Consider the following 16,959-nt stretch of genomic DNA (forward strand, 5'->3'; position numbering starts at 1 on the left):
GGGACTGACTAAGACAGGAGGCCTCATGGAGCAGGGTGGCAGCAGGTCACCCCCACTGCCCCTGCTGTCCATTCAAGTAGCCTCTGGGCAAGCTCCAGACTGCCAGGTCTGCAGCCGTGCACTTGACAATGGCTTCCTGGCTCCTCACCAAGTACTGGGCACTGTGGTAGCCAGATGACATCCGGAAGAAAAAGATGTCATGGGAAACAGCCTCTGAGGACGGGGGGTTCCTAGCCTGGAGAAGCCCCAGGGAGAGCTGGGGAATGGGTGGTGCCTCTAAAGTAGTGTCGGGGGCTGGTTGTGTTCTGGGGCCCTGGGGATAGGGCAGGGCCTTGGGCAGAGTTATGCCTGGCATATAGAGAACTCTTAGAGTCAGCTGTGAGCCCCTCGTTGCCAGAGGTGTGCAAGCAGAGGCAGGATGGCCCCCAGTGGAGTCCTGCATGGAAGAAGCTGGGTTCGACCAGCTTTCAGATGCTCCTGGTGCTAAAACCCAGGCTTCCCCTGAGGGGCTTTGGGGATTCTAGCAGGTACGTTTTTCTCCCTGCCTAGCTGTCAAGATTAAAACTCTGTGTTGATTGAAACTTTTATATATTGTGGTCCCTCTGGGGAAGAGAACAGAGGGCTTCCAAAGCATTACAATCTTGCAAAACCTCACAAGCAGATACCGCCACGGTCCCACACGGCCAGCATATTTCCTGCTTGGCTTTTTGGGGCCCTCCGCTGATGGGGGACAGGGGCAGCTGGTGCACAGGTTGCCCTTAATCGGAGCCCCTCAGAGATCTTCAATGCAGAAGTGCTTTTCCGAGAAGACTGCTCCCCGGACGAGTTCATCGATGTGATCGTGGGCAACCGGGTGTACATGCCCTGCCTGTATGTAAGTGCAGGAGGGGAGCCCTGGCCTGGCCACTCGGCCTTTCTACCACATGCATTTCCTCAGCTCCCGGAACCTTGTGAGAGAAGCAGAAAGAGTCTGAGGCTCTCCCCTCACCTCACCTCACCTCAGTGGCTGCTTGGATCTTGCAGACATAGAGAGCTTGAAACCAGGGTTCCAGCCCAGCCTTCCCAACCCTGAGGCAGCAAGGGGAGGAAGGGCGTAGACTCAGCTCTCCAAGGAAGGGCTGCAGCCGGCACAGGGCGATGGAGGGCCCTTTCCTGGATGCCTTGCTCCTGTCCTCAGCACCGGCCTCCACCTTCTCAATCTCAGGTTTATAACAAAATCGACCAGATCTCCATGGAAGAGGTGGACCGCCTGGCCCGAAAACCCAACAGTGTGGTCATCAGGTGAGGCCACTGGCATCCTGCCACTCTGCTGTCCTTGCTGTGGGTTCTGACCCCAGTCGTCAGGCCTCCCAGCCACTTTGGCTGTGGAGGAGGAAAAGCCAGCACAGCCTCCAGCAGCACACAGCCGTCACGGAGCCCAGGACTTCCTGCCCAGGGCAGAGCACTTTGTCCATGAGGCCAAGGAGACACTGCAGGAGGGTCCCCTTCATAGCTGCTGGAGGCATTGGCCCATTCCAGTTCTGAATTGCCGTGGGCAGGGTGGGTGACGTCTTGTGGGCTCTGGTTAAGAAAACAGAAGGATTTCATCAACCAAGGTTGAATGGCTAAGAGGCTTCTTAACTTAGGCCAGGCGTGGTGGCTCATGCCTGTAATCCCAGCACTTTGGGGGGCTGTGGCGGGTGGATCATGAGGTCAGGAGATCGAGACTATCCTGGCCAACATGGTGAAACCCTGTCTCTACTAAAAATACAAAAATTAGCTGGGCGTGGTGGCGTGTGCCTATAATCCCAGCTACTCAGGAGGCTGAGGCAGGAGGATCACTTGAACCCGGGAGGTGGAGGTTGCAGTGAGCCGAGATCATGCCACTGCACTCCAGCCTGGGCGACAGAGCAAGACTCCATCTCAAAAAAAAAAAAAAAAAAAAAGAGGCTTCTTAACTTAGTAGTGAACCAAGGTCCCCCCAAGAAGCCCTGGGTGTGAGCCTACCTCTCCTGGTGCTCTGGAAGGTGTGGCTTCTGTCTGATCACAGCTCAAAGGGAAAAAGGGAACTAATGTTCTCAGGCCCTGGCCACTCACTTCCTGCCCTCCTTTGCAGGGTGGGTCCCTGGGGTACCGCCTGCACTCTGGATGTTTGTTCACTTGCCACCACAGCCTGGCAGGCTCCTCTTTGGGGCAGACTGATTCAGGTGCTCCACTTTGCTGGTTTCCTGACTTGAGGCAGGCACTCCACAGCTTCACAGTGAAGCTTGGCCAACAGTACTGAGAGCTCAGGGACCAAGAGGCTGGACAGCGCAAATGATGGATGAGGGTCCCGGCCTGAGCACAAGGACCATTTTGTGGTGGTTGTAGCCACCACAAAGAGCAGTGTCAGTTCTACAGCACAGCCTCAGGTCCTCTCCTCCTGCTGTGTCCCAGGCCTTTGAGGGGCTGCCATCCTCAGGGCGTGAGAGCTTCTACACCTTTACCTGCTTGTGCTCAGAATAGCTCTACAGAGGTCAGGACACAGCTCGGGGTCACGGCGCAAACCTTCAAGCCACGGTCCACCCAGTATTTGGAGCAAGGCACATCCCGGGCCTTATCTTTTTAATCCCTCTGCAGTCCTGCGAGGTAGGGACTGGGTTCATGCCTGTTCTACATGTAAAGGCTCTGGTGTCTCCAGAGCCTTGGTTCTCCCCTCTTCTTGCTGAAATCCCTGCTGGACTTCCTGGCAGTCCCTTGCTCCTCTCAAGGAGTGAACTCTGGGTGTCAGGGTTCCTAGCCTTTGCCCATGGTCCCGTCACAGCCCCCGGCCATCTCGCCATGGCAGCCCTTCACTAATCACACATGCTGCAACCCTCCACAGAGCACAGGCTTGCCAGCCCCTAGGAGAGATGCTGACCCTGGTTGAGTGTGACCATGATTGGTGCCCAGAGGCACTGGCAGCAGAAACATCAGGCTGCCATCATAGTAATGGGCTTGTTTCCCTGTGGGTACCAGCGGGCCACCTGGCCAGTGGAGGTTATCCGCTCCAATAGTGAGAAGTGGAGACCCCAGCCTCTGAATTCACAGGGGCCCCTGCCTGACTGGCCGCCTCCCTCTTTGCAGCTGCGGCATGAAGCTGAACCTGGACTATCTGCTGGAGATGCTTTGGGAGTACTTGGCCCTGACCTGCATCTACACCAAGAAGAGAGGACGTGAGTTGCACTGCGCGTAGCTGAAAAACAGGCTGAGCTTCATCCCTAGAAGGCTGCCAGGCCGGTGTGTGGTGCCCAGAGACCCCAGCACCGGCTCTGGCCTGGCTTGTCTAGACACACCTCAGCTCTTTTCCCTTCTCAGCACTGGGCACTGCTGGTTTTGAGGGTACCCTGGTGGGGCAAGGCTACCTTGGGGTCCCCACTGGCTGTAGCAGTCAGTGCCCTCCTGACCTCCCCTCACAGTGACAGGCCCTACCGCAGGAGCATTAGGGACCTGAATCCACAGGAGCCATCCCCATGTCTAACTCCTGCCCATCCTCCTGGTGCGCACACACACATGCCCTGGGGTCCCAACAGCTGAATTCGGAGCAGTTTGCATCAACCCTGACTTTGGCAAGGAGTGAGCTACAGCTTCCCTCACTAGACTCCAGCATCCCTTTGCGCCCTGCCCGTTCAGTCCAGGTCCTGGTCTCTGTCAGTGCTGTCACAGCAGATGGGTGGCAGGCACTGTGAATCCTAGACGTGATTTATTTTGAGTCACTGTGTTAAGATCAAGGTCGTAGAAGATGGTACAGGGATCTATGTGGAGGGTGTGCTGGATGTCAGGGGGAGGTTAGGCCAAGGCAAGGAGACCGAAAGGGCCTCTGTGGCCAGCTCTTCCCTCGCGCAGAATCACAAGATGGCAGTGTGGGCCCTGATGTGTGGCTGACGTTCTCCCCATCCTGCCCTGCAGAGAGGCCAGACTTCACAGACGCCATCATTCTCCGGAAAGGGGCCTCAGTGGAGCACGTGGTGAGTTGACAAGACCTGCCGTGACAAGGGGTGGGAGCTCTGCATGCCCTTTGGGGCTCTGTTCTGCCTGAGGTGCCCTGGGCTGGGGGTGGGCTCTGCTGGTCTCACTCTCAGATGTCAACGCAGGCTCTGGAGTTGGACAGCCTGGGGCTGCGTCTGCAGCACCCCTTCTTAGCCATGTGCCGAGGCTCTGACCTCTACTGTGAGGGGGGTGTGCTGCCTGCCCCCTGGATAGTCAGGAGGACACGTTGAATGAGGTCCAGTGTGTAGGGCACTCAGCATGCTGCCTGGCTTTGCAGAGATGCCAGTAACCCTGCTTCCATGCCATTCAGGCATCAGTCAAGGAGAGTAGGGAGTGGCACCAGCTTAACACAGAGGTCAGGACAGCGGCTTCAAGGAGGCAACCTGAGCCGGCTTATAGGACTAGTGGGTCTGGCAGTGAAGAGTTGGGGTGGGGAGCATCCCAGGTAGGGGAGCAGGCATGCACAGGCCCCAGGGGAGGTGGTCTGGGCTCAGGGAGCAAGAGGCTGCCTTTCCCTGTCCAGGATTCTGTCACCTGAACATGACCCTGCAGGCACAGATGGTGGCCAACCTTCAGGTCACATGGCCGTCCTCCTGGGCTGATGCTTTCCTGGTGTTGTTTTCCTCTAGCTCATTTCTTCTTGGGATCTGTATCCTGGAGGCAAGGGATGCTGTAGACCCAGCTGTCCCTGCAGCCCCTTAGGACAGTGGTGGCAGGGCCTGTAATCTGGTCTCATGCATTCATTCATTCCGCAAGCCCAGCCCCAGGTCTCTGAGTGCCACCCTAGAGGTGTTAAACAAAGGAGGCCAGGCAAAGTCCCATCTCCCTCAGGGCCTAGGCTTGAGATCACAGCAGGAGGAGCCAAGGAGACTCACGATTACCCTCCTGAATCCCTTCAGTCACTCACAAGTGGCAATGCTGGGCAAGCTGAGTAAAACAAAACCCATCTGCAGACCAGAGTCAGCCACCTTCCCATCTGTGTCAAGGAAGTGTTCCTGCAGGCCTGGCGCCGGCCTCCGCCCCAGGGACGCTGGGCTGAGGTGTTGGGTCTCCCACCAGGGCCTGGAAGACCTGTGGGCATGTGGGAGGAGGAGTCACATTGCACAATTGCAGAGTCCCCTCCCCACCGCCCTCCACTGTGCCACCATCAGCGTGGCAACCAGAGGTCTACACTCTCAGGGCAATTGCTGGCTGCCTCCTCCAGGGTCTCCTTCCAGTTTTATATGACATCTGGGACCCCTGGGATCTTCACCCCTACCAAGGAGCACTGAAGTTTATACACTGCCCTGGGAGTTGGGGGTGATGTGATGTGTGGGAAGCTTCAGGCCACAGGTGGGGCCAGGAGGAGTGAGAGATGGTGACCAAGCAGGGGGGACTCCAAGCTATCACCCTGTCCCATTCTAAAGGAGCATCTGTTCAGGCAAGGCAAGCAGAGGGCCACTAGCAGCCAGGCCCCTGACCTTCCCCTGGTGGCTTTGGGAACATTCCTAACTATGCACCACAGCTGGCAGATCAGGAGTGGGAATGGCAGGGCCACCTGCAGCTGTGATTGGGTGGCTATGTGCGAATTGAGCACGTCAGTCCTCCACACAAGGCCCAGACTGTGTGGGCACCTGCCGCGGGAACTCCTGCCTCTTGGCCTGTGTCCTGAGCTTTGGGTGTGCAGCCAAGCTTGGGATGGGGTTAGGTGAAGCCTCACCTCTCTACCTGACTCTCTCCTGTCCTCCAGTGCCACCGCATCCACCGGTCACTCGCCAGCCAGTTCAAGTACGCCCTGGTGTGGGTGAGTCTCTGGGTGGAAAGCAACCAGGGGGGTAGACCCAGGACAGCCCCTGGGTTAGGCATGAAGCAAGGCATTCACACTCTCTGCGTGGTGTTCCTGTCCTTCCTGTGGGGATTGGCATGTCTGTGTGTCTGTCCTCCATAGAATGTACATGCCAACCCAGGGTAGACATGGGCCTTCCCCACCCTTTTTTTTTTCTGGTTTTTTTTTTTTTTTTTTTTTGAGACAGGGTCTGGCTCTGTCTCCCACGCTGGAGTGCAGTGGCACGATCATGGCCCAGTGCAGCCTCGACATCTGTGCAAAAGCGATCCTCCCACCTCAGCATCACAAGTAGCTGGGACTACAGGCACACACCACCATGCCTGGCTAATTTTTCATGGAGACAAGGTTTCGCTATCTGGCCCAGGCTGTCTCAAACACCTGAGCTCAAGTGATCCTCCCACCTTGACCTCCAGAAGTGCTGGGATTACAGGCATTAGCCACTGTGCCTGGCCCTCCCCAACCTTTGAGATCAGGGATGGTCAGACAACTGCGGACATCCTGCTGCCTGAGGCCCCCACCTTATGCCATGGCATTTACCCTTCAGGACACACACGCCCAGGGATATCTTCCTTGACCTTGGCCAGTCCAGGCTGAGGTGACCCCTCTGCCCCCATTCCTCACCCAGGGCACCAGCACCAAGTACAGTCCGCAGCGGGTGGGCCTGACCCACACCATGGAGCATGAGGACGTCATCCAGATCGTGAAGAAGTAACGGCGCCTGCCGGGCCTCCCGCCCACCTGCCTCGTCTCCCTGGGGAGGTGGTCCCACTGGGACACACAAACACCCAAACAGAAAAATACAAATACACGTACCCCAGGAAGGGGTCCCTCAAGTCTCTGCTATTTACAGAAGTTTCTTCAGTAGGCAGACGAAGAGTGTGTTGGGGCAAAGGGGCTCGGTTGGAGGCATTTCCCATAAGACTGAGCCCTCTCATGGGGGTTTTGAGTTTGTAGTGCTGAGCCTGCATCTGTGCCTCCCAGCCCCCTGCACTGAGGGAGCAAGTTGCCCACATGCCCGCCAGCCAGGGCCTAAAGCAGATGGCATGCTCAGTGCCAGGCTGGTAGCTGGGCCTGTTTGGGTCCCTGGAGGCTGTGGCTGCTGTCATGGCACCTCACTCCCTCAGCTCTTGCCAGCTTCTCTGACACTTGGGTTGGGGGCCCTTCCAGGAGGAAACCCCCTTGGGTGCCCCACACAGGGCTCTCCATGATGGGAACCAGTGGTTAGTGGCTTCAAAGGCCCAGCTGACACCCTCCACAGCCTAAGGGGTGTCCTAAAGTGCCTCCCCCTGTATTCCCCCTCCCAGGGCAGCCCCTGCCCAGCACAAAACCCCAGGACCCTGGCTCTGCACGCCTGGGGCAGGGACTTTTGAGTTTAGGATCTGTATTTTCTAAGTCCCCAGTTCTCCTGGCTCTCCTTTCTGAAATAAAGGATTGAAAACGGTTCCTGTTCAGACTGAGAACACTTTGTAAACTTGCTGAACAGTAGCCAGGTTGAGTCAGGTGGGCACAGGTCAGACATTGGGCCTGGGGGTCGGAGAGGGTGCAGCCTGGGCCCCAAGGCAGACCCAGGCCTTGTGTGGCAAGGAGACTGCAGGGTTCCTCACCCAGGCACAGGCAGGCTCTGCCCAGGGGGTTGGTGTTCGGGGGTGTCAGGCCCAGACTGGCCCCTCCGGAGGGGCCTGGCTGCCAAGGTGGGCAGCATCCCAGGAGGCCCTTGTGACCATCTGGGCTGGCAGGGAGGCTCTGTGAGAACAAGGTGGCGGGTCATTTCCTGTTGCCTCAGAAGTCAGGAGTAGAGGGGCTGGCAGGGGCTCGATGAGTGCCTACCGTGTGCCAGGGACTGTGCCAGGCCCCCCACAGTGTTCTGCTGTCCCCCAGAAGCTGGTGTAGGCTGCACAGTTTGTGAGTGCAGACCCCGGATTTAAGACCTCTGAGCAGCGGGGAAGGCTTCCTGGAGGAGGTATGCCTTTTGAGATGGATGCAGCAGGTTCTGTGAGGCTGCCAGGAGGGGTAGAGTTCCCGGGGGCCTCGGGCCCCGCTGGAGTGTGGAGCAGGCCCATGCTCAGCTCTCCAGGCTGTTCGTGGCTCCCCTGTCAGCTGCTCACTCCTTTCCAGAGACAAAACAGGAATAATAGACATCATTAAATATACATAGGGCCCCAGGCGGTCGGCGTGGTGGGCTGGGCCTCCCTTCCCCATAACACTGAGCTGCTCTGCTGGGCCAACCGTGCTCCTGGGCCAGCCAGAGGACCCCCATGAGGCGGCATGCAGGCGGGGAGCAGGCCACAGAACGCAGGTAAGGAGACCTTAGCCTAGAGTCCTTGGGGTCTGTCACTGGCCACCCTCGCATCCCAGGCTGCAGGGGTGATAAGGGAAGGGGCAGCAGCAGAGCTGGGGCCTCGCCCCTAACTCATCTTGAGGCCCTTCTCTGCCTCACTTTGTTCATCTGTGAGGGGTGTGATGCCCATGCAGTCCCCTCCTGGCGATGGTGGGATACCAAGACAGGCAGGGCCTCTGTGGCTTACCTCGGCCCCTCTCCTGACTGTCCTGATGCCTGGCCATGAGGCCCTAAGTGAGGGTTTCTGCCTGGCTGGTGGCCATTCCCACTTCCACTTTACAGGTAGGGGCTCTGGGCCCAGGGTGAGGTAGGGAAGGCCTTGAGTTCACAGGGTGTCAGGGTGAGTCCAGACCTTGGATTAGATCCAGACCTGTTTTGTCCCCAAGGCTGGCTGGCAAAGGGTGGGAAATGAGGCCAGAGGCTGGGGGTCCTCAGGCAGTGAGGGCTCAGGTGAGAGGCTCCAGCCACTGGGCCACAAGTTCCTCACCGTGGATGGGCTTGTTCCTGGGCTAGATCTGTGTGCGCGTGGATCAGGGCAGGCACTGCGGCTCTGTTATGTCCTGGGCTTTCTGGATCTGTGGTCAGGATGGTTGCGCAGTCTACATTTGCTTGTGAGAGAGCGAGCAAGGGATCCTGCAGCTGCGTATGCCCAGGTCAGTGTGAAGTGGCAGCTTGCGGTGCCTTTAGGGCTGGGGAAGCTCCCTAAGACCCCCCAAAGGTCTCTGACCCTCCCATCCCCGCACCTGGGTAAGCTCCAGGCTTGGGCCTCACCCTGTCAGCCACCTTGTTCTCATCACCCTCCCTGATGATCACAGGCAGGGGTCTGCACCCTCACTCAGGCCCATGCCCAGGCAGCAGAGTTGCATTCATCTCCCAGCTGGCATCCCTGCAGCCTCCCGGGGGTAGTATGGCCTGCAGCTTTAGAAGACTCAGGTACATAGGAGCCAAAGACATGAATATTCATCTATCTGTCCCACACGTGTGCGTTCACTCATTCTCCGTCTTTCTTCCTCTCCAGCTTAGATTCCACAGTTTCTCATTTCGGAACCCTCCTTTGGCAAGAAAGCCGAGTCGAGACCCTCTCCTTCCCACTCTGTCCCTCTCCTAGACAGCTCACCTGACCTCCAGCTTCCATCTCGCCAGACCTGGGTCCGAGCAGCCTTTTTGACTCTCCACTGCACTGTCCTGTAGCCATCCCAAGCCCACCGTGTCCCAGACCAAACATGGCGTTCCCATACCCCCGGCCTCACCTCAGAGACACTCCCCGCACCCCCCAGCTGCACCAAGCCAACCCCAAGACTACTTGTCTCCACCCTCATCCCAGCCCCATCTAGCCTCTCACCAGGGCCAGCCTGTTTCACCTCATCCTGAATGTGTCCGCTGTACACCATCACAGCATGCTCCCAGCTGTGTCATTGTCCCCTCTCCATTCTTTTCCACATGGCAGCCCGAGCTTCTTTTTATAATATTTTCTAAGAAGCCATGTGAGGCAGTGGTTGAGACTGTGGACACTCTGAAGCCAGACTGCCCAGGCTTAACTCCACCTTCAAGCTGTGTCACTCACATAACCTCTCTGGGCCCATGTCCTCATCTGTAAAGTGGGAAGAGTAACCACACCGACTTCAGGAGGTTGTAGTGAGAGTTGAGGTCTGTGTGGCCTGGCCGTTCTGAGCACAGGTCTTGCAGTCAGGGACACAGGCCCCATGGCTTCCTCACTGTGGGCTCTCGGCTGAGGGATCTAACCTCTCTAAGATCAAGCCCTTCATCTATGTGAGAATCTAGTGAGATATTCCAGAAAAGCATTTAGTACCAAGCCTGGCACATAGTAAACATCTGGAAATGCGAAACAGTGACCAAAGTCCCATCCCTTTCACGGCCATTGGGCTAGTCCCTGCCTGCCACCCTGGCCACCTCTCATTTCACATGCCCTCAATCACTCTGCTCCAGCCATAGGACTGTCCTTGAAGCCCCTCTTACCACCTGACCTTTGCACATGCTGTTCCACTTGCCAGGAATACTGTTCCTTCTTCCATGTTATAAGCTCCCTCTTATCCTTCAGATCTTGGCTCAGGGTTGCGTTGTCAGCAGAATCTTCCTGGACCTCCAGTGCAGTGTTTGGGCATCTGTGGGTCATGCCCTGACCTTCACAGCTCTTCTTGTTGATGTGACTCTGCTTAAAGTCTGCATCCAGGATGGGCACAGTGGATCATACCTGTAAACCCAACACTTTGGGAGGCTGAGGCAGGAATATTGCCCGGGGGCAAGGAGTTCAAGACCATCCTGGGCAACATAGTGGGACCCTGTCTCTACAAAAAAACATTAGCCAGGTGTGGTAGCCCACCTCTGTAGTCTCAGCTGCTTGGGCAGCTGAGGTGGGAGGATTGCTTGAGCCTGGGAGCTTGAGGCTGCAGTGAGCTGTGATTATGTTACTGCACTCCAGCCTGAGTGATGGAACCAGAGCCTGTCTCAAAAGAGAAAAAAAAAAAAAAAAAAAAAAAAACAAAGTCTGTGTCCCCTACAACACAGGGAGCTCCATGAGAGCAGAGATCATGTCTGGTTCCACTTAACTCTGCGAACCCCAAGTGCCCTGCACAGTGCTTGGCACATAATAGATGCACAACTAATGCACAAGTAATATTTAAGGAATGAATGAATGAGAGACTTGCTCCCTGACACCCGCTCTGTGCCTGCACAGAGGATGGGGACCCTGAGAGGAAGGCAGGACCTGGAACCTACCAGAGAAGGGGCAGCCTCAGCTGACTACTATCCTGAGGTCAAGCCTGGGACCCAGAGACCAGGAGGGATCAGGTGGGCAGGACTTGCTGCCAGCAGTCACCCAGACCTCCTCACTCAGAGCAGACAGGCAGCAGCCTGTAGCAATGACGTTGGCAGTCATAACAACAGCTGCTTGCCCAGGCCAGCCACTGTGCCCAGCTCTCCGCTATCTCATGTAATGCCCAGGTCAGCCCTGGTAAGGGAGGCATCTACACTCACAGATGAGGAGACTCCAACGCTGAGGCTGCATGACTTGCTATGGGTCAGATCCAGGAGAGGAATGAGACCTGACCCAGAGCTCTGAGCCACTGGGCTCCACGTCCCCTGGGCTAGAGCTGGGCTTGCCTCTCTGAGAGGCAGGTTCTTCATCTGGACAATGGGGCTTTGCAGTGGAAAGATGCCTGCCTGAGGCTTTGAGGCAGGACTTGGGCAAGCCCGCTAGAGAATGGTGGCCTCTCAGCCTTTCTTCTGGACAGACAGACAAGGCTCCCCTACTTGGGGCAGACAGAAGGTATGGCTCTGGGAGGTGCTCTTGGGCCTGAAGGGCCAGCCCTGCCCTGCTTCTCCCCAGCAAGTCTCTGACCTCTCTCTGCTTCACTTTCAACAAATGTAACAAATGTTACATGACACTGGGGTGGGGGTGGGGTTGGACCTGTGACATCTCAGGTCCCTGACATTCTTCCTGAGAGCCCCTCTAAAGTGGTGTTTCCACTCAGTCTCCAATCCCTTTTTTTTTCCATTTTCACATATACACTTTTTTGGGGGGTCGTGGGGGACAGGGTCTCGCACCGTCACACAGGCTGGATTGCAGTGGTGCAATCTTGGCTCACTGCAACCTCCACATCCTGAGTTCAAGTGATTCTTCTGCCTCAGCCACCACACTGTGCATATCTGTAGCTGGGATTACAGGTGTGCACCACCATGTTCGGCTGATTTTTGTATTTTTAGTAGAGACAGGGTTTTGCCATATTGTCTGGGCTGGTCTTGAACTCCTAGCTTCGAGTGATCCACCTGCCTCGGCCTCCCGAAGTGCTGGGACTACAGGTGTGAGCCAGCGCACCTAGCCCACATTTACACTTTTAAATGTTACATTTTTTTTGGTTTTTGACTCAGAAATGCATTCATATGGATAAAAATCAAACTAATATAGAAAGATTTACAGTGAGATAACTATTCTCATTAATTTCTTATGTATCTTTTGCTGTATTATTATTATTTTTTTTTGAAACGGAGTCTCACTCTGTCACCTGGACCGGAGTGCAGTAGCATGATCTCAGCTCACTGCAACCTCTGCCTCCCGGGTTCAAGAAATTCTCCTGCCTCAGCCTCCCAAGTAGCTAGGACTACAGGCACACGCTGCTACACCCAGCTAATTTTTTTGTATTTTAGTAGAGATGGGGTTTCACCGTGTTGCCCAGGCTGGTCTCGAACTCCTGAGCTCAGGTAATCAGCCTACCTTGGCCTCTCAAAGTGCTAGGATTACAGGTGTGAGCCACCACACCTGGCGCTGTATTTCTTTTGTTTGTTTTGACACAGAGTCTTGCTCTGTGTCAGAGGCTGGAGTGCAGTGGCATGATCACAACTCACTGCAGCCTCAAAATCCTGGCTCAAGCGATCCTCCCACTTCAGCCTCCTGAGTAGCTGGGCCTACAGGTGCTTGCCACCTGTAATTTTTCGGTTTGTTATCTAGGGACAGGGTCTCGTTATATTGCCTGGGCTAGTTTCAAACTCCTGGGCTCCTCCCATCTCAGCTTTTCAAAGTGCCCAGGCATGAGCCACTGCTCCTGGCTGCAGTATTTCTAATATGGAAATAAAAAAGCAAACACAAGCTGAGCATGGTGGCTCAGTGGCTCATGCCTATAATCCCAGCACTTTGGGAGGATGAGGTGGGCAGATCACTTGAGGCCAGGAGTTCAAGACCAGCCCGGCCAACATGGCAAAACCCTGTCCCTACTAAAAATACAAAAATTAGTCAGGCATGGTGGTGCATGCCTGTAATTCCAGCTACTCAGGAAGCTGAGGCCTAGGAGGTGGAGGTTGCAGTGAGCTGAGATCGCATCACTGCTCTCCAGCCCGGTTGACGGAGTGAGACTGTCTCAAAAAAAAAAAAAAGGCAAACATAAGAATACAAACTTATATTCTTAGCACCTCCCCTGACACACACACACACACACACACACACACACACACACACACACACTCTTCCTACAGAAAGGCCTCAGTAAACACTGTAGTCAACAGGCTGATCTGCAGCCTGCTTCCTGCACTAGCAGGTCCTGGAGATCGCTCCCTATCAGGACACAGAGATCGTCCACATTCCTTGTTATAGCTGTGTTGTGTTCCATCCTGGAATGCATTGTGGTGTACTGCAGCAATGAGCAGCTCTGTTTGTGTGTCCTTACCCATAAGGACGTGTAAGAGAGATCCCCAGGGGTGGATTACTTGCATCCTTCCTTCCTTCCCTCCCTCTTGTCCTTTTTCTTTTTTAAAACAATCAATATATAATCCGCACTCCATACAATTCACCCATCAAAGTGTACAATGCTGTGGTTTTAGTATGCTCACAAGTGTGCCCACCTTGTGACCACCACAGTCCTGTCTTTTTTTTTTTTTTTTTTTTTTTTTTGAGACGGAGTTTTTGCTCTTGTTGCCCAGGCTGGAGTGCAATGGCTTCATCTTGGCTCACTGCAACCTCTGCCTCCCAGGTTCAAGTGATTCTCCTGCCTCAGCCTCCTGAGTAGCTGCAATTACAGGCATGCGCCACCACGCCCAGCTAATTTTTGTATTTTTAGTGGAAATGAGGTTTTACCATGTTGGTCAGGCTGGTCTCGAACTCTTGACCACATATGATCCACCTGCCTTGGCCTCCCAGAGTGCTGGGATTACAGGCATGAGCCACTGCACCTGGCCCTGGTCCTGTCTTTCTTGAAACCTCTTCCATCAGGTGTAACTTCCCTTGCCCCTGCTACTGTACTGGGACCATTCTTGTCACAGTCACCCCTGGAGCTCTAAGGAGCTGCATCCATTAGTCAGCTCTCCATTCTTGACTAACATGCTCATCTGTCATAGCGGTCCCATCTGTCATAGCAGTCCCGCCCTCCTGTGCAGCCCCCAGGACCCCACTCCCTCCTGGGCCTCTACCTCCTCCTCTGGCTGGCTTCGTGGTGCTCACTCACTGCCTCCTTGGCTCCTAAGCACTGCAGCCCTGCGGCTCATTCCGTGGCCTCTCTTCCCTCTATACTCATTCCCTGGTGTCATCCTCCAGAGCTGTGGCTTCAATGCCATCTAGATGCCAATGACTCCCTAACTGATGTCACCAGCCCTGGTGGCTGTGATGGCCCCCCAGCAGTGCCCAGTGCCCAAAGCTGGATCCTGGGCCCTACTTCCTCAATTTGCTCTGTCTGCAGCCTTCCTCATCCTGGCCAATGACCTGACGGCCTCTCCATTCTCCCTGATGTTCAGTAAGGAAACTTGGGAGCCATTCCTGCACCCTGCCTCATCCCCATCATCAAATCCTGTCAGTCCTACCTGCCACATGTCCCCAGCATCCTACCACTTCTCCACACTTTAACCGCTGGCAGCCTGGTGCAGGAGGACCTCCATAGAAGCTTCCATGCTGGCCTCCCTGCCTTCACCCTCACTCCTGCAGCCGCTTCTCCCATAGCAGTAGAGGCTGCTATCAAGACTGAGGTCGAGGCTAGGCTTGGTGGCTCACGGATGTAATCCCAACACTTTGGGAGGTCGAGGCAGGCAGATCACCTGAGGTCAGGAGTTCGAAACCAGCCTGGCCAACATGGTGAAACCCTGTCTCTACTAAAAATACAAAATTAGCTGGGCGTGGCGGTGTGTGTCTGTAATCCCAGTTTCTTGGGAAGCTGAGGCAGGAGAATTGCTTAAACCTGGGAGGCAGAGGTTGCCGTGAGCCAAGATCGCACCATCGCACTCCAGCCTGAGCAGCACAGCGAGACTCTGTCTCAAAAAAAAAAGACTGAGGTCGAATTCCATCCCTTCTCTGCCAAAACCCTCCTCCCACGGCTCCTGCCTCACTGGCAGTCGAAGCCAAGCCCTCATTGTGGCCCACAGGCCCTGCACATGTGCCCCTGAACTCTGACCTCACCACCCAGTGCACCCCCACTGCCCTCCAGCCACCTGGCCTGTCTGCTCCTCCACCTGCTTGGGACTGTGCACTGCCCACAGGCTCTCTCCATGGCCCCATAGCCACTAGGCCTTCCCTGACTTCCTGTTTAATGTCACAACCCCACTTCTTGCTGTCCCTTCCACGGCACTTACGCCCCATTATCTGTTACTGATTTTCCATGTTTATTGGCTTTCTCTCCACCCACATATGGTAACTGCATGAGGGCAGGGTTTTTCTCTGTTTTGTTCACAGCTGTGTCCCAGCACTTAGACGGTGCCTAGCATGCAGCACACTTCCCACAGAGGCTTTTGAATGAATGGGTGAGTGAGTAAATGCTGGCTCAGGACCCTTAGGGAAAGGGGCCAGGCTGACTGAGGAATCCAGGTTGGGGTAGCGGTGGGCAAGCACTGGAGAGGCCTTGGTGCCTGTTGGAGGCCCAGCTGGGCTCTGGTTTGCCCAGTGGCTTGGTCAGGGCCCTCCCCCTCCAGGCAGGAGCAGGTTGTGGGGTTAGCACGACTATGCTCCTGGCTCTGCCCAGTGTCCTAAGCCACTCTAAACCCAGTGATGACCCAGGAGCTCAGCGGGCAGGAGGGCCTAGTAAGGGAGGTAGCTCTGGACTCGGCCAGGCCTGGGTTCTACCTTCCCAAGCCAGGTGGCCTCGAGCAAGTCCCTTCATCTTTTGAGTCTGAGTTTCCTCATCCGGAGAATGGATATACTAATAGCTCATATCTCACAGACCTGCTGTGAGAGTCCCATGAGACCACTGTGCAACACACCTGACTGGGGCCTCACTTTGGAAACTGGCTCCAAGAGGAGCTGGGGCAGTTGTTGATATCTCCAGGCTCAGAAAGAATGTCTCGGCTGGGCGCCGTGGCTCACATCTGTAATGTCAGCACTTTGGGAGGCCAAGGTTGGTGGATCACCTGAGATCAGGAGTTTGAGACCATCCCGGCCAACATGGTAAAAACCGTCTCTACTAAAAATACAAAAATTGGCCAGGCGTGGTGGCACATGCCTGTAATCCAAGATATTTGGGAGACTGAGGCACAAGAATTGCTTGAACCCGGGAGGCGGAGGTTGCAGTGAGCCGAGATTGCACCACTGCCCTCCAGCCTGGGCAACAGAGCGAGACTCTGTCTCAAAAAAAAAAAAAGAAAGAAAGAAAGAACATTGCCCCTGTCCTTCATTTTTCCTCAAGCGGGCAAGAGCCACTGCCCAAAAACAGAAGGGAGAGTGGGCAGCCCCTCAAACTCCTGCTGTGCAGGAGGCCCACTTCCTGCACGTATCCCCTAACTCGCTCCAAAAGCCCTCCATCCAATTTCTCTGGTTTCCATCAAGCCCCACTCCCCATCCCTGTGAGACTGCCTGCACCAGGCACCAACAGCCCCTGGTGCAACTCCTCTGAGTGGCTGGGCACTGACTGGCTCCAGGTGAATCTTGGGGAGGAGGAGCAGGAAGAAGAGGAAAGTGAAGAGCCAGAGAAAGTGAGCAGGGGGAAGAGGCAGACAGAGAGGGGGAGACCTCACTTGCTGCATGGTCCCCTCTCTGCTCCTGCCACTTACCTGGGAAGGCCTCACCCTGTCCCTGTTTCACAGCTGAGCACGTTGAGGCTCTGAAGCCACTGATCTGAGGGCGTGGAGCTGGCAAGTGGCAGAACCAGGGCCAGAACCTTGCTGCTTTGGGGTCTCCTATGCTAAACCTTAAACAACCAAAGAATTAGCTCTGGGACCAAAAGAGTGAACCAGAGTTCAGTGAGTTGAGGTCCATCTTGAGGAGGAAGAGGAGGAGGAGAGCTGGTTCTGAGGCTTCAGGTCTCAGAGCTGCCACTCCCCACCTCCGCTGGCCTGCCCAGTTTTTCCCACCCCCTACCTCTTTTAGTGCAGGTTCTCAAAAGTG

At 55.5% G+C, this 16,959-nt stretch overlaps 2 protein-coding genes and 1 long non-coding RNA gene across 7 annotated transcripts in view, besides 1 other annotated feature; 2 read left to right on the forward strand and 1 right to left on the reverse strand.

The window, feature by feature from the left end:
• The window catches only part of DRG2 (developmentally regulated GTP binding protein 2), a 20,022-nt gene extending 12,769 nt beyond the window's left edge, over positions 1-7,253 (forward strand). For 2 of the 5 annotated variants that reach the window (XM_005256499.4, XM_005256500.3), the window contains 6 exons: positions 777-874; positions 1,205-1,281; positions 3,085-3,173; positions 3,844-3,965; positions 5,717-5,770; positions 6,438-7,253. In XM_005256499.4, the coding sequence (XP_005256556.1) occupies positions 777-874; positions 1,205-1,281; positions 3,085-3,173; positions 3,844-3,965; positions 5,717-5,770; positions 6,438-6,524 (527 nt within the window). In that variant the 3' untranslated portion in view covers positions 6,525-7,253. The remainder of the gene's footprint in view (positions 1-776; positions 875-1,204; positions 1,282-3,084; positions 3,174-3,843; positions 3,966-5,716; positions 5,771-6,437) is intronic. The other 3 variants (XM_011523704.3, NM_001388.5, NM_001330144.2) reach the window with 3 other exon arrangements.
• Positions 6,336-6,983: an enhancer, noted in NCBI's record as "H3K27ac-H3K4me1 hESC enhancer chr17:18010366-18011013 (GRCh37/hg19 assembly coordinates)". NCBI's record gives its function as "activates a minimal SCP1, AML or CMV promoter by ChIP-STARR-seq in naive H9 embryonic stem cells {active_cell/tissue: H9 hESC(naive)}" and the evidence as "EXISTENCE:reporter gene assay evidence [ECO:0000049][PMID:30033119]".
• On the reverse strand, positions 6,975-16,845 carry LOC105371566 (uncharacterized). Its single transcript, NR_164159.1, has 3 exons — positions 16,626-16,845; positions 10,136-10,362; positions 6,975-7,919 (listed from the first exon to the last, which is right to left on the reverse strand). It is a non-coding gene; the product is annotated as an uncharacterized LOC105371566 (long non-coding RNA).
• MYO15A (myosin XVA) overlaps positions 8,040-16,959 on the forward strand; it is a 71,045-nt gene continuing 62,125 nt past the window's right edge. The window contains exon 1 of the mRNA NM_016239.4: positions 8,040-8,108. The gene's annotated coding sequence lies outside the window, so the exon portion shown is untranslated. The remainder of the gene's footprint in view (positions 8,109-16,959) is intronic.

This window comes from Homo sapiens, chromosome 17 (assembly GCF_000001405.40).
Source record: "Homo sapiens chromosome 17, GRCh38.p14 Primary Assembly".
NCBI lineage: Eukaryota > Metazoa > Chordata > Mammalia > Primates > Hominidae > Homo > Homo sapiens.